The following is a 15,843-nucleotide window of genomic DNA, read 5'->3' as shown; positions in this document are numbered from 1 at the left end:
TTAAAATAAATACAAATATTTAAAAGCATAAATATTTGGTCCAAAACTTGTTCTTATGTGGTATCTTGAAATACTGCCTTTCATGGCTCACACTTGTAATCTCAGCACTTTGGGAGGCTGAGGCAGGCGGATCACTTGAGGTCAGGAATTCAAGACCAGCCTGACCAACATGGTGAAACCCCGTTTCTACTAAAAATAAAAAAAAATTAGCTGGGCATGGTGGTGGGCTCCTGTAATCCAAGCTACTCAGGAGGCTGAGGAAGGAGAATCGCTTACACCAGGAGGCGCAAGTTGCAGTAAGCCGAGATCGCGCCACTGCACTCCAGCTTGGGCAACAGAGTGAGACTCTGTCTCAAAAACTAAATAAATAAAAAATTAAAAAAAATACTGCATTTCATTTTAAGTTCACTAATCTTTAAGTCTTCTTCCTTTTTAAAAAATACGCCAAATGTTAAAGATTGACTGGTTCTAATTTCTTTAGAAATATTTCCCTACTGACCTCACTATCCAGATTGTGCCTCTACATTTCATAGTATTAACACTTCATCTATAACTTGTAAAGCACTATCATTTAATTGTTTTCAATTCCAAGAAGATTCATATATATTTAATTTTTCAACTATTTTGTAAGCTCCTCTTGTACGCACATATCTAATCTAAGATTGTCCACAATATTTAATAATAGTTGAAAAAAACTTACATATATCTTTAATTAATAAACATTTTCATTACAGAAATGTAATTTACTGACTTTAATAATTATCTACTATACCTCAACTCCTTCTGAGAAAATAAAAAAAGCAGTGAAGATCAAAAATAGGCCATTGACAAAGCCAGCCAGAACTTCCGCTCTAACATACCTAAAGAGGAACAAAGTAAATAACTGAATTATTATGTTATTTCTTAAAAATTAAATCGTAAAATTACATACATTCAGAGATTCCAAACCATATTACATGGTTATAAGTGGCCAGCGAAGCCCTAGTGTTTATAGTACAGTGCATTTTATTTTATATATAGTAGAAATGAGGAAACGAATTAGTACGAATTGTTCAAAAGCAGAATGCCACAAAACAGATTTTTACAAGCCAATCCAAAGATCTTCTTAGAGTAAGTAGTTTTAGAAAGACCTTTCACAGAAATTTAAATCTCAAGTTGCTAGTGGAGAAGGAAAAACAGAACCAGACAAGTGGACAAAGAAAGAAGGATTAACGGCTAAAAAGTAGAAGAAAGGGTCTGGAAAAGGGGGTTTTTTAAACTTATTAATTTCTCTTTTTCTAAGAACTCCTTATGCTTTCTGCTTTGTACTTTTTAGCTTTCAAACCTTTGGAAAGCAGAGCTTCGATCTGAAGGAAAATAAAATTATTTCTGACTTATGCCAGAGACAACTTGAGATTTATATTTCTAACACTTTTTCTAAGATTAATAAATCTAGCATAAACTTTCAATTACCTATTTTTAGAATCAATTTTAGCTTCACATAATTCTAATTAAACTATTTTTAAAATACCTGTCTTTTGTTCCATTGAGTTCTGAAGCTTTCTGCTTCCTACCTGTGTGAAGCATTGGGGAAAGATTTTATTTTTCTGTATCGTATATTTGGCTTAGTTAAAGTCATCAGAAACAACTTTAACTTAGCATTTTTACATGTTCAAACATCATTCAAAGGGTGCTAACAGCAATTAACCACTCTGGTCCTTAAACAATATAATGAGAGCATCAAAACTCGTGCTTTTCCTAGGTTTCTATGTTAACTTCTAGGTAATAACGATTTTTACTGTAAAAATATTTTTAAAGAGAATTCTTGAAAATGTACTCTATCAAGTTATGTTGGAGTTTGTCCTGTCAAGTGCATTCCAACATAGTATGTATTTCTATGCCAGAAATAATGCATATTTCTATCTTCTAACACATCCAAATAACGTATTACTTGTCAAAACATATTTTTTTTTCCTGGAGAAAAGTTCATTAAATTCAAATAATTTGCAACCAGCATTCCACAGCCTACACTTAGGAATTTATCTAATAAATCAGCAGGGTTACTATCCAAAAGTAAAAAGTATTTTCTTTTAATCTACCCTTGTAGTCCCATAACTAATGCTTGACTGAAAACCTTTTGTGCTTGACTTCTACCAGATTTCAAGATCAAAGGCAAGAATGTTTTTCAGGCATCTTTTTGTTTCTAATTCCTAGCTTAGTAGGTGTGCTATCTAAGTTCAGATAAAATGTTGGAGTGATTTAATTAGCTTGAGTTTAAGATATATTTGTTAAACTTGGTTGTGGGCTCAAAACAAAAACACATGAAAACTAAACACATTTGCCTTTACAAATATCTGTGTTTACTTAACAGATTGAGTAGGTCTTAGAATTAGAACATGTAATTCATGAATGTGCTGTTGCCTAATTAAGTATGGCTAGTGTTTAGATTCTTGAGCCAGGAAGAAAAATAGAAAAGATTTAAGTATAGGTACATATGTATATACGCATGTATGTATGTATCTATCTACCTACTGGATGTATATTACTTTTAAGCTGTCTTTGCTCTTTAAAAAATAAGAGTGTGGCAAGACACAAAGATGACTTTTATATAAAGAAATACTTAAAAGTCCTTGCTTGCTCTCATATTCCCCAACTCTTTCTTCTATTGCAGAGTCAGTCAGCTACAGCAGTCATCCTGAATTGGGGTGGGAGGTTATGAGAATTCAACCCTATGCTTAACATGAATTAATCAGTGTCATTTTGATTCACTGACACCAGTAGTTTACAAATGAAGCTACTTATTACTATACCAATTATTCATAGTGTTAAATATTGTACCAGCTTTTATTCTTTAATCTTTCCCAAAAGAAAACACACACACACACACACACACACACACATAAAGAGAGGAGAGGATTAAATTAAAGGTGGAAAGAATATTATTCTCTTACATCAACTAGCTAAAGCTGAACATTAAAATCTGCTATGGTACTGAAGGTATTCAAAGCTATTTCTAAAAACCATTTTAGAGCAGGAGACAATACATTCTAAATTGGAAACAATAGAAAATCTAAGCGTTAAAGAACTGAGAATTTTCAATAGTCAGCTACTGTTTATTCAGAAAGATTGTAGAATAAGCTATTCTAATTAGATTTCTGATATATAATATAAATAAATTACTAATTTTCCAACAAAAATTATAACTTTGGATATAATCTTTCTTTAATAATCTAAAATATACTTAAGAATCTTTTAGTAGCTACTGTTTAAATTATTTGCATATCACCAATATCATGCCATAAAAAGCGTTCTTATCTGAGCTGTCAAGCTGTTTGAATTTATAGATATATAGGATCTACTGCTCTATACTATAAAATGTACAATGAGTATTTTTTGGCTCACTTTTTATAATTTCAAAAATAACCATATCCCTTGCTTATAACTAAAATCAGCAAGTTCTGCCACAGAACTCCACATCTCCTTTTTGGCAACTGTCACAATATATAGCTATTATTGTATTTTTACAGAACTGTTTGCCCAAGAGACAAGTTCCGGCAAGGCAGGAGGCATGTTTTTACATCATTAGATCATTTTTACATCATTAGAACTAGAAAAGTATTTGACTCATATGGACCCTCAATAAATATCTAAACAGAACAAGAGCATGTGAAAGAAAGAGTGTGTGCCTGCTAAAGAAAGAAGCCAAGCCAGGGAGAAAGGGGGAGCAGTTAAGGACAGAGAGTAAAAGACATAACAAGAGGCCTAAGAGACAGTACATGAAAGAAGATGGCTGTAAAAAGGACAGGGAGAGAGTGAGAGAAACTGCACCGGAAAGGGAGAGCTCAGGGAAGGAGAATCAGTGAAGGAAGGAAAGAGAGACTTGGAAAGGGAGACAAAAAAGAAATAGAGCTAAAGAAGTTAAGAGAAGAGGAGGAGGAGAGATTGAGCCTGACAGATAAAGGGTTAAAAGGTAAAGGAAAAGAGCAGGAGAAAACAAAGAATAAGACAGGAAAGGTATAGGGGGACAGAAGAAGGAAGAGAGAGGAAAAAAGAGCATGAGCACAAGCCCAAGCGACAAGAAGCAAAGACAAGAGAAGGAAAAGGGAGTTCAGGAGAAGATAAGAGAGAGTAAGAGGCTGAGGAAGGGAACAAGAGTGAGAGACAGAAAATATGAGAGACAGATGAAGAAGGAAGAGAATGTAAAAGAGCACTCACAGGGGAAATGAAGAGAAGAGGAGGAAAAGGACAGAGGGGAAGAATTAGTAAGAAAGCAGAAGAGAGAGGGAATAGGAAAGACAAAGGGGTGGGGAAGAGAAAGAAACAGAGTATGCATCCTGAGCTCTGCTTACACATATATATAGCTATACTGCAAAATATTCTATGAACTCAAAAAAGGAAACACTCAGGCAGTGTAATCAAATAATGAAAAATCCACTGCTTCCTCCAATCAGAGGTGGCAGAAATCAAATTATGCCTCTAAGATGATCCAATGTAGTCCCTTCAGCATACAGATGCTCTACAAATATTTGATTAATTGTCCAACTCGGCAAGCATATAAGAACTGTTACATAAAAGCAGAGCTAAAGAACATAATATAAAACCATATTAGAAAATGATTTTAAATAAATCAACAGCAAAGTATCCATTCAAAAAGAAAAAAGCAAAAGCAAAAAAAAATCCTATTTTCATATACTAAAACTTTCTTCTTCAAAAAAAAGTTGAGAAATTCCTCTATATGGTAACAATCTCAACAAATTACTGTAGATTCCAATTATATACTATTCAAAAACTCATCCATGAAGTCATGAAAGTGGTTACCCTTGGGGAGGTAGGAACTCGAAGAGGCCTGAGTGGGGGCTTCAAAGATTCAAAAGTTACACCTGTGTTCAATTGGTAACAAGTCACTGAGCTTAAGATTAGTGTTTTTTTGTGTATATCTTATACTTCAATAAAAAGATTTTTTTTCTTAAAGTCTTACCCATAGGAGAAAGCATCATTATCTCTCCATTTTGAAATAACAGAAGCTGCCAGTCCAGCCAAAATGGCAGTGCTATCGAAAAACATGTGAAAAGAGTCGGAAATCAAGCCTAAGCTGGAAAAGAACAAACACATTGACAAATTATAATAAAAACCAAACAGTAGGCATCTTTCTCTGAAAGTCTAAGATTCAGCCTTTGTTCATCAGGAATTAACCATCTAAAACAACAATTTAAATATGCTATATAGATAGCTTTGAGGATAAGTTTTAAATATCTAAAAAGTAAACCCTCGTACCTCCTGCACAAGGAAAAGCCCAGCTGCTGCGAGAGAGGTAGAAACAAAAACCATCTGCTGCTGGGTGAGGGGTAGGAATGTGACCACTCCTTGGTCACTTGCAAAGGTCAGCTGCCACTGAAAGAGAGGTAGGAAAAAAAAAGCCATCTACTACTGGGACGAGGCTGATACCTGCTTGCACCCAGGATCTTACAAAGCAAAGGTCTGCTTTTGTTGAGTATCCTGCTCCACCCTTTTGATACCAGGCTGAGGACAGTGGGGACAGGCTGGGAGAGAGGGAGAGCGGCAAGATCATTAATACTCACCCTGACACTGAGGTGCACAGGCTTGCCTGACTAGGGATACAACAAGAGAACCTAGTCCCACCCTCCCCACCAAGTCTTGAATAAAGTATAAGGAACAGCAAACTACCAGTGAGAGCACAAAGAGATATGTGCAGAACTTGCTAAAAGCTGAGAGTGGAGCAAGAACCCTGAAAAAATCCTGCAGTACTCCAAATCCAATACTAATCACAAAGTAGTAGGAACCACTGAAAAATTCAAAGACTGTGATTTGTGGAAATCAGCAATAACAAAACACAAAACCCAGCTCAACCCCAGTTTGACTACTGAGCAAATAGTTTCGAAAGTCCCATACTAACGGCCAAACAGAAAAATAGGTGTGCCCATTTCTGGACATATACAGTCTCTATTATTCTTTTAAACAGAATGTCCAGCACTCAATGACAAAATCAAGAAAGAAAAAAAGAGAGACTCATTGTTAAGAGCTACAACAGTCAACAGAACCAGAAATGGCCCCAATGTTGGAACTATTAGATAGGACTTTAACAACAAATACAATTAATATGTCAAAGGATGTGGTATAAAGTCAGAGAAAATTCATTAACAAATGAATAATTTCTGCAGATAAAAACTATAAAAGAATATAATGGAAATGATAATTTTTTAAAAATTACAATATGGAGGAATAACAGTCATGGGCTTCTGAGCAGACTGGACACAGAGAGAAAGAATCAGTTAGGTCAAAAGAAGTTAAACAAAGTGCAACACAAAGAGAAAAGAGAGTGGAAACAAACAGACAAACAAAAAAAGCAGAGCATCCCAAACCTGTCTGGACGTATCAAACATACTAAAATACATGTATTTAGAGTCTCAGGAACAGAAAAGAAAAAAAGAAAGGGATAGGAAAAGTATTTAAAGAGAAAATGTTTCAGAGTTTTCTGAAATTCATAAAAGAAAATAAATCACAGATCCAAGAAGCTTAATGAACCCAAGCGAGGAAAAAACCCTCCACACGTCACAAACCACTAAACATCAAAGAGAAATAAAAAAATCTTTGAAAACCAGAGGGGAAGAAAGAGAAAAATTAAATTAAAAAAATAAAGATAAAATTTATAGCATGTTTTTCTTCAGAAACTATTCAAGCCAGAATGCAATGGAGCAACACCTTTAAAGTATTGAAAGAGAAAAAAAATACTGTCAACAACCTAAGGTATGACAATAATAGCACACAGAATGGAATAAGAAAATCAAAGTGTATTATTGTAAGGTTCTTATCAGATACATGAAATGACATATTATTTGTGATAATTTAAAGATTAATATTATACATACTAAAGCACCCACTAAGAAAAGCCACCAAAAGAAGGGAAGGAAATCCTCTACCAACACAAAGCAGACGTTCTGCTACCACTGAGAATGGAGAAGGAAAGTTGTCTCCATCCAGGACCATAAACATACACACAGTAGAGTTTGGCTATTACAGGAGAAGGAGTAAAAATGTTGACAAAATCATACCCCTGAGGTTGAGGCTTACAGAATCTACCAAAGACAGAGGCTTTGGGTTAAAGTTAACAAATACCCCTCTGCCTTCACCATAAACTGGGTACTGAGTAACAAGCAACAGCAGTCTATAGCTTGGGCAGGAGTAAGCGCATGAAGAAAAGAGCTTCTGTGGCACAGGCACCATACAGAGATTACTAAAAGCACAAAGTCCAACCAACTAGTGGTCTGACAGACAAGGCATACCTATTTCCGATCATAAATACTATTACCTCAGTATCTACTGTTTTTTACTCATAATGTCCAATATTTGATAAAAAAAATTTCAAAATACACAAAGAGCCAAAAAAAAAAAGAAGTCACTGTGGAGAAAGCAGTTAACAGAACCAGACCAAGATATTGACCCAGATACTGGAGCTATCATAAACTCTAATTAATATGTTAAAGGATCTATGGAAAAAGTGGACAAAAAAATATGAACCAGTGGGGAATTTGGTAGAGAAGTGGGAAATATAAAAAACAATCAAATGGAAATACTAGAAACAAAAAACAAGTTATCAGCGATAAAGAATTCTTCCAATTGGCTTATCACAGACTGGACACAGCTGAGGAAAGAAATCCGTGAACTTGAAGAGAAGTCAATAAAAATGTTCTGAAAGCAATCATCAGTTCAGTCTTTAAAAACAAGCTTCTGAAGTCAGAGTACCTGGGTTCAAATCCCAGCTCCAAATTTACTAGTTCCGTGACCAGTAAGTTACTTAACTTCTTTGTGCCTCAATTTAGCCATCACTTCAATAGAGTATAGTATAAAAGTGTCATAATTGTTATAATAATTGAGTTAATATATATGAAACATTTACCACAATGCTTGTCACATTAAAACCACATTAATATTCCTATTGCTAATTATTAATAAATCACATTATTAATTATTAACTATTATTAATGCTTATAATACCTGGTGTTCCCAAGCACAACCCATACCTCTTAATATTTGGCTAGATGCTAGAGTTTTCATCAGTTGGAAGTGCTACAAACTAAAAGTCAAAAACATTCTTCACACATACAGAAAAAGCATGGTTTTAAATTTTTCTCATAATTTGGAATAATTATATAATTAGAAACTAAGTCAAAGCACATCATTTACCAACAAGAAAAAGCACAATAATTTATAAACCTCTGCCAAATCATTACAAAAGATTTTAGAAAATGTCTTAAACTTTTATCATGAACCTTATTTATTCCACTGAAATATAGATATATTAGAAAGTTTAAGTGCAGATAGTACTTTAACCATCTCATCTGACATCTAACTCAAAGCAGAATGAGAATTGGTGAATAAATGATAAAGCAGAATAATAAAACTGATACATGAGGACAAGGTAAGGGGCATATTATTCATGCAATTCTCTTAGATTTAATATTTTAAGATTTGTCCTTGTATAGTTAGATTACCGAAAATTACACACTTGAACCATAACATCTATGTAACATGGAAAATAATGATTTAACTTTATTTTGAAGTATGAAAGACTCATGTGAAGAATTTCTCTATACTGTGATAAAACCATTAATAAAGACATTGTCTATGATTTTGTTTTCGATCCCCCAAGAAAAGATTAATATGGCAAAATACTGTTAAAATTTGATTTCAGAAAACTGTCTTTCTACTCTGATAAAATGATAGAGTTGTGTTCACTTTATGGAATTTTATAACTAAATTTAAAAGTCAATTTTGGGAGCTAAATTAGACTATATATTTAATAGATTAATTTTTTCCTCCCTAGGTATGGTTTCTAAATGTTTTTATTTCTTAATGTGTTTTATTAGTATATATAGCTTTTATTTTAAATTACTGTAATCAGTTTTAGAAGGCAGGGCATTCATTGTAAATAAATATAAACAAACATTTACTGATTTATTGATCTATATTTTACTATCTATTTCACTATTATTTAGTAAAACACTGTCATGGGTTGAATTGTGTTCCTGCGCCCAAATTCATATGTTGAAGTCCTAACCTCTAGTACCTGAGAACGTGACTTTATTAGAAATGGACTCATTGCAGATATAATTAGTTAATATTAGGTCATTAAGGTGAGCCCTCATCCAGTGTCCTTATAAAAAAGAGAAATTTGGAAGAAGATACATAGATCACAATGCGAAGATAAGGCAGAGATCAGGTGATGCTCCTACAAGCCAAAGACTGTCCAAGATTACTAGAAAACCAACTGAAGCTACAGAAAGATCATGGAACAGATTCTTCCTCAGAGCTCTCAGAAGAAATCAACCCTGATGACACTTTGATCTCTGACTTCTAATCTCCAGAACTGTGAGACAATAAATTTCTGTGGTTTAAGCCACCTAGTTTGTGGTGTTTTATTACACCAGACTAGCAAACTAACACACACTCCTTTTTTTCAACAAATTTACTTTATATGCACCCAACATAAACCAAATATTGCCATAATGCAAAAAATAAAAATAAAAATAAAAATTCCTTTTGCACAGAATAGCAGTCAGGTTCCTTTTAAAGAGGTGTGGATATAGCACGGCAATTTTAATACTCATCAAAATGAAATTTTATTTAAATTTTAAGTAAATTTAATTAGCATTAAAATGTTATTTTTAGTACTTAATAAAATGTGACTACCTGAAAAACTACTCCCTCTTCTGAGATGGAAGAACATTATGTTCTCTTAAAACACTGCAATATGAGATCTTTTCCCTTAAACTTGATATCATGATTTAAAAATTACCTAGCTGCAAATACACAAACTCATGGGAAAAACAGTCTACTTTTAGCTCTCTGCTGACCTATCACATGTAAAAATATTGCTTATGAGGAAGGTCAATTTTACTGCTCATATTCAATCTTAGCAAATGTTTCTGATTATGAATTATATTTAAACTATAAATTTAAACTATAAATTTCCTTAAAAAATAAAGGTAGCATAGAGAATACCTAAGGTTACATGACTGAAACACCAAAGGTAACTTCAGTAAACCATGATAAAGTAAAGCTGGTTGTGAAAATCCACTTACTTGTCGTAGACTCCTCTTTAAGCACTGCTAGTTTCTCTAAAATGTATTTGTAAACTCTTTTAAATGACTACCTTCTAAAGACATTTTAACATGGAAAACCAGCCGGGTGCAGTGGCTCGTGCCTATAATCCCAGCACTTCCGGAGGCTGAGGTGGGTGGATCACCTGAGGTCAGAAGTTCAAGACCAGCCTGGTCAACATAGAGAAACTCCCATCTACTAAAAATACAAAAATTAGCCAGGCGTGGCTGTACTCCCAGCTACTTGGGAGGCTGAGGCAGGAGGATTGCTTGAACTCAGGGGGCAGAGGTTGCAGTAAGCCAAGATCGCGCCACTGCATTCCAGCTTGGGCAACACAGTAAGACTCCGTCTTAAAAAAAAGAAAAAGAAAACTTCTACGTGTATAAAGGAGAAACCTGAATACATAAATACAGAAGCAAAAACAGCACAAATGTCAATAGAATATATGGCAAAAGAAACTTTTGAAAAGAATTTTATTTAGGGTCTATTGGAGGCAAAAACAAAGGAAGGGAGAAAGAGAACCTATAAATTAAGAGCAACTTAAGAGACATATAAGCTAAATACTATGTATGGATCTTGTTTGATTTCTAATCTGTAAAACCAAATGTAAAAAGAATTTATGAGACAATGAGGGACTCCTGAATACTCGTTAGCTGGATATTAATGAGTCATTAATTTTCATGGGTGATAATGGTTTTGGGTTATGTTAAGGGGGGGTGGATTTTATCTTTTAGAGAAGCATAATGAAATAGTTATGGAAGAAATTACATCTTGTGTCTGCTTTAAAACAATCCAATGGTGGGACAGGGACAACAGATGAAATAAGATAGACCATGTATTGATAAATGTTAAGGCTCAGTGATGGGTACATGAGGTCCATTAAATGCTCTACTTTTACATATGTTTAAAATACCCAGTGATAAAAAATTGTTTAAAAGGTCTATTGGTAACTAAGCTAACGGTATATTTATATTGTTTGTTAAACGTGTTCAAAATTGAAAATAAGGAATCATCATAATTCAGAAATCCCTTACCAGGTACTTTCCATGATGTGGAAAGTCAGGGAAAAACACTGTCAATTTATTATCAGGAAATTAGAAAATTCTTAGAATCCTGACATTAGCAAAGTCAATAAACTAAATGAGTTACAGTGAAATAACCCAGAACTCCACTACATTCCATTATATAGTCCCTTACTTTAAAAAAAATTCTAAGCAAAATGGAATATTTATCTATGTTTTTAAGGTGGGAAATAAAATTATAGGAAAGCAAAAGCCATCACCATAAGCTGGTAAGTAATGCTGCCTTTTGAGAAGGAAAAAGTTGATTTTAAAAGACTAAGATATATGAAAATTTTAATAGAAAAACATGTGATTGATAGAAGTATTTTTCTTCACTAAGGAATTACTTTACAAACATCTGCTGTGAAATATCACACTGAAGTAGAACCAAATAAATGTCTGGTATTGTCTTAAACATTTCTTCAACAAATATTTACTTTGTTAACACAAAGACATTAACCTTTAGAGTTACCTGAGTGTCTTCTATGTCTAAGGGAAAAATGGTTGCAACAGCTTTGGTAAGAAATACTACTGAAATTAAATCTGTTAAAAATGAAGTAAAAATGTAAGAACATAAAAACACAGAAACTATATTGAGATACTAGAAAAAACCAGTGTGATGTTTTTTGGACATCAAACTTGGACAATAGGTGCTGTAGGCTCTGCTGCTCACTTGGGAAGTAAAAAACTCTAGGCCTCAATTTTCCAACTATAGAAGATGACAGGTTAGTTTGTCTCTCTCTCTCTCTCTCTCAAGTCCCACTTCCAAAACCTACACTATCCACATATTCTCTTTCTTCCTTAGTAAAAAATCCTTGACTTTCCGCAGAATACATGGCTGAGTGGAATAAAGACTACATTTGCAACTAGGCATGACCATGTGATAAAATTTTAGTGAAAGCATTGTGTGTTAGCATCCAGGTAAATCTTAAAAAAAAAAAAAATGTGCACACCTTTTACCTCTTTTTATCTGCATTCCAGACATTATGCTGCCAGGGATGACTGAAACACTAGCACCCATCTTGGAAATGAAGTTTTATCTTGTGTAAGCAACCATTATTTTAGGTTTTTGTTTTGTTTTGAAACAGAGTATTACTCTGTTGCCCAGGCTGTGGGGCGGTGGCTCAATCTCGGCTCACTGCAACCTCTGCCTCCCAGGTTCAAGGGATGCTGGTGTCTCAGCCTCCATGTAGCTGAGATTACAGGTGTGCAGAGTTTTTCTGTAACTTGAAAACAAACTTAACCGTAGATGATACAAAACCACATTGTTACACTATGTTACCTTGAGATTAGTCAGTTACTCAACAATAAATTAGTAAATGAAAAATAAAATACTAGAAGGAAGGGAAAAATCACATAGAATTTCTACCATTTTCCTCCCAATTTCTAAGAGTGAGAGAATGGAATTTAATGTTTTGTCATTGCTGTTTTTCCTTAACGGGGTAGTTACCATTTTTAGTATAGGTAGTGTAATTCCATACATTAATTATTCCCTCATTCTTTCATTTAGCAAATATGTATTAAGCATCCACTATGTGCTATGTACTGAAGTGCCTGCATAAGATAGAAAAGATCCCTACATTAATACAGTTTACGTTCTAGTGGGAAGGTGAAAGGTAGCAGATATTTATTGAGGGGAAAAACACACAACAACTACCTATTGTTCCACTGAAGAGACCTACTCATCATCTAAAATATAAATCAACTATAATTAAGTTCTTCCTTTAAAATGAAGGCTCTGAAAAAGAACCAGAACAATTTAACATTTGTTAAAATTAGATCAACTGCTTCTATGAACCTTTATTTGTGAAGTGAGTGTTTTATTCACGTTTCAGTCCTCTATAGGAAAAAAATTCTTGGTTATTTCATGTTCTCAACAAGTTGAAATTTATTTTTACAGAATGAAATTCAACAAGGAATTGACTAATACACAAAATGAGTTTTGGAAGAAATTTAATCAAGGAACTGAAAAGCTAATATAACCTACAGGAACACAGATAATCTTCTGGTCATATAAAGAAATTATTGATCAGTCAACAAAAGGAACTAAAAATTTTGGTGTCTAAATAAAACACAGAAAGCCAGATTATTAAAAGGCCAGAGAAATGCCTAAATCTGCCCAAATATCAATGACAAGAGATCTGTATTAAAAATTAATATTTAAGAATAATTGGTTGTAGATCTGGAGATTAACATAAATAGGCATGAGATGACGGATACGTGCTAAATGAACTAAGTACAACATGCACTGGAGCTAGATTTCAAATCTAGCTAGAAGACATAACACAATGAAAAACAGTATATAAGCTGCACTAGTAAAGAAAAGCAAGTCCCCTAAGGGTAAAAGAACAAGTCGACTACAACTAATGTTTTTGTTATGCACTGATGCATACTGACTTAAAAAATAATGGTTCTGGTAATCTCCCCAACAGATCTCTACAGATCAAAAGAGTTACTATATACTTAACTTTCCATGAAAGGTGGTTTAGGAACTTCAAGTGTGAATCTCTTGAATGAGATATTTCACAGAGTGACTTATGTAATGGAAAGCCATAGTGAAACACTGCAATAGAAACTATCTGTAGCAAAATATGCATATATAAGCTATGATACACTCTTGATACAAAATATGCATATACAAGCTATGATACACTCTTGATACAAAATATGCATATATAAGCTATGATACACTCCTGATACAATCAGCACATATCCCAAAATTAATTTGGCATAATTTAGGAAGAGAAAAATGTAAAATATACTGTAAATATTATATATTTATGATAAAGTATGATTATTCAAGTACAAGTGCTTTCAACATCTACAGTATATTAAAGTGTGTTAATACTATGGGATTAAAAAATTAATCTATGATGGGGTATCCTTCAAATTAACACATCTGATTCCCAAAGGATTCAAAATGGTTATTACATATATTAAGATTTCATTGTGCCAATATGCCTTTATACCCAACTGTTGACTAAACCAATAACCTTCATAATCTGCTGGTTATTGAGTATTTTTTATAGAACTGAATTGACGGTTGAATTGAAAGAAGCCCAAGCATTATATAAAAGTATACATGTCACAAAACCTGGTGATATTACCTGTCAATGTTTGATCTCAACAGAAGATCAAGGACAGCGATTTTCTCTGAAAATGGGTCTTAAACAACAGAGACTAAGTCTATTTAATAAATAGAAAACAGGTTCTTAATCTAGAGTCCAAGATTTAGTACAGGGAACCCAACAACATCCTGAAGCTTTATGTACAATTCTGAGTATTGGCTTTCATCAGATTTTTGAAGGAGTATGGGATCTAAAGACAGAATTAGTACACCTAGGAGTGTGACAGTCTTGTTAGCAGAACAACTTCATAAGACCTTAAGTTACTCAACAGCAAATACCTGAATAATAGTAACTTCACTGCCACAGAGTTACACACTAGATTTTCCTCCTCCTAAGGATGTTTCAAAAAAAACAAAAACCCTCAAAGGTGCCACCAAAACCCAAGAAATGTTGTTTCTAGAAACTATATGGGATTTTTACATCGCAGTTAAGACTACAGGAAAATCATGAGACAGTTTCGGCATTAAAGAGAGAAGAGAATGACACATATTCCTCCCGATATCACTTTATAAAACCTCCCATTCCAAGCCCCAATAACAAACTAAGTAGAACATCTCAGATATACTCTCTCAGAATCTTAAGGGTGAAATCCAAATGCCACTCCCCCCCGAGAGAGGCAGCAAACAAGTTTCTCCCAATTCCAACAAAGTGGGTAAACCTAAGGCCTACAATTAGAAATGAAAGATTCTGCCCATCTGCTAAAATAAGGAGGGGCTTGTCAGTCTTGTCTGATGGAACTGGAGGGGAGCGTGACAAGAGAGGTTGCACAGGATAGGCCCAGATCTTACTCAAGAACTGTAGCCCTACCAGATTGGTGTGGGTATGAGAAAGCAACTCAGCAGCAGAGGTAGGTAACAAAGGTAGGACCTGAACCTCCTAGTGAGGAGCTACGTGGCATTAAGCAAACAGTGCTTCGTCTCCCTCACACCCAGCTTCCGCCCAAACCATTTTCCCCTTTGGTTACCAGTTGCTCCAGATGCCGTAGAGTAGTTCCACAAAAGCGAAAGAGAGGTTCAGGCACAGGAAGAAAAACAGGTTCCGGGAAGTCTTGTCGGACAGTATAGACCTGGGAATGATACACGTGGAAAAGAGCCGGGAGAGTTAAGGAGGTGCCGGGACCCCGAGGCTGGGTACCCTCTTCAAGACCCTCCCAGTTCACATGCTCCTTTCTTCACAGCTAGGGGTTGACGGGGAGTTTTTGACTCTCCCTCACTGGACCTCGGGCCATCCTGAGGTCTGGGCCTTCTCCCTTTCTGCCGGACACCCCCTCCCCGCAAACACAGCACCCCGCACCTAAACCAGCCCGAGATCTTGCCGAACAAATTGAACTTGGGTGGTTTGTATTCATCGTCTTTGATGGACAGGGGCAACATCTTCTCTGCCCGGCGAAGGGCCGGGTCTACTCCCCTCTAGAAGTGGCTCCGTGGGGTGATGGCAGTGACAGTAGTGACGCCTCAAACGGGAATCCCCAGCGCTTGTCCGGGGCCGCGCGCCGCTGCGAGACACAGACAGACACAGACACACACCCGGGAATTCGCTTACTTCCGGCCCGGGCC

The 15,843-nt window shown here is 35.0% G+C and overlaps 1 protein-coding gene across 5 annotated transcripts in view, besides 2 other annotated features; it reads right to left on the bottom strand.

Moving 5' to 3' along the window:
* The window catches only part of SLC30A7 (solute carrier family 30 member 7), a 99,989-nt gene extending 84,156 nt beyond the window's left edge, over positions 1 to 15,833 (bottom strand). For all 5 annotated transcript variants that reach the window (XR_246237.4, XM_017000400.3, NM_133496.5 and 2 more), the window contains exons 1-4: positions 15,581 to 15,833; positions 15,252 to 15,353; positions 4,958 to 5,071; positions 773 to 860 (exon numbers count right to left, since the gene is read on the bottom strand). Coding sequence is in view for 4 of the 5 variants with exons in the window: in XM_017000400.3 (XP_016855889.1) it covers positions 773 to 860; positions 4,958 to 5,071; positions 15,252 to 15,353; positions 15,581 to 15,660 (384 nt within the window). In the remaining variant the exon portion in view is untranslated. The remainder of the gene's footprint in view (positions 1 to 772; positions 861 to 4,957; positions 5,072 to 15,251; positions 15,354 to 15,580) is intronic.
* Positions 15,329 to 15,488: an enhancer, noted in NCBI's record as "active region_1389". NCBI's record gives its function as "activates an Ori minimal core promoter by ATAC-STARR-seq in GM12878 lymphoblastoid cells {active_cell/tissue: GM12878}" and the evidence as "EXISTENCE:reporter gene assay evidence [ECO:0000049][PMID:35858748]".
* Positions 15,539 to 15,788: an enhancer, noted in NCBI's record as "active region_1388". NCBI's record gives its function as "activates an Ori minimal core promoter by ATAC-STARR-seq in GM12878 lymphoblastoid cells {active_cell/tissue: GM12878}" and the evidence as "EXISTENCE:reporter gene assay evidence [ECO:0000049][PMID:35858748]".

This window comes from Homo sapiens, chromosome 1 (assembly GCF_000001405.40).
Source record: "Homo sapiens chromosome 1, GRCh38.p14 Primary Assembly".
Classification (NCBI taxonomy): domain Eukaryota; kingdom Metazoa; phylum Chordata; class Mammalia; order Primates; family Hominidae; genus Homo; species Homo sapiens.
The sequence above is the reverse complement of the archived record's forward strand: the minus strand, read 5'-3'. Positions and strand labels throughout refer to the sequence as shown.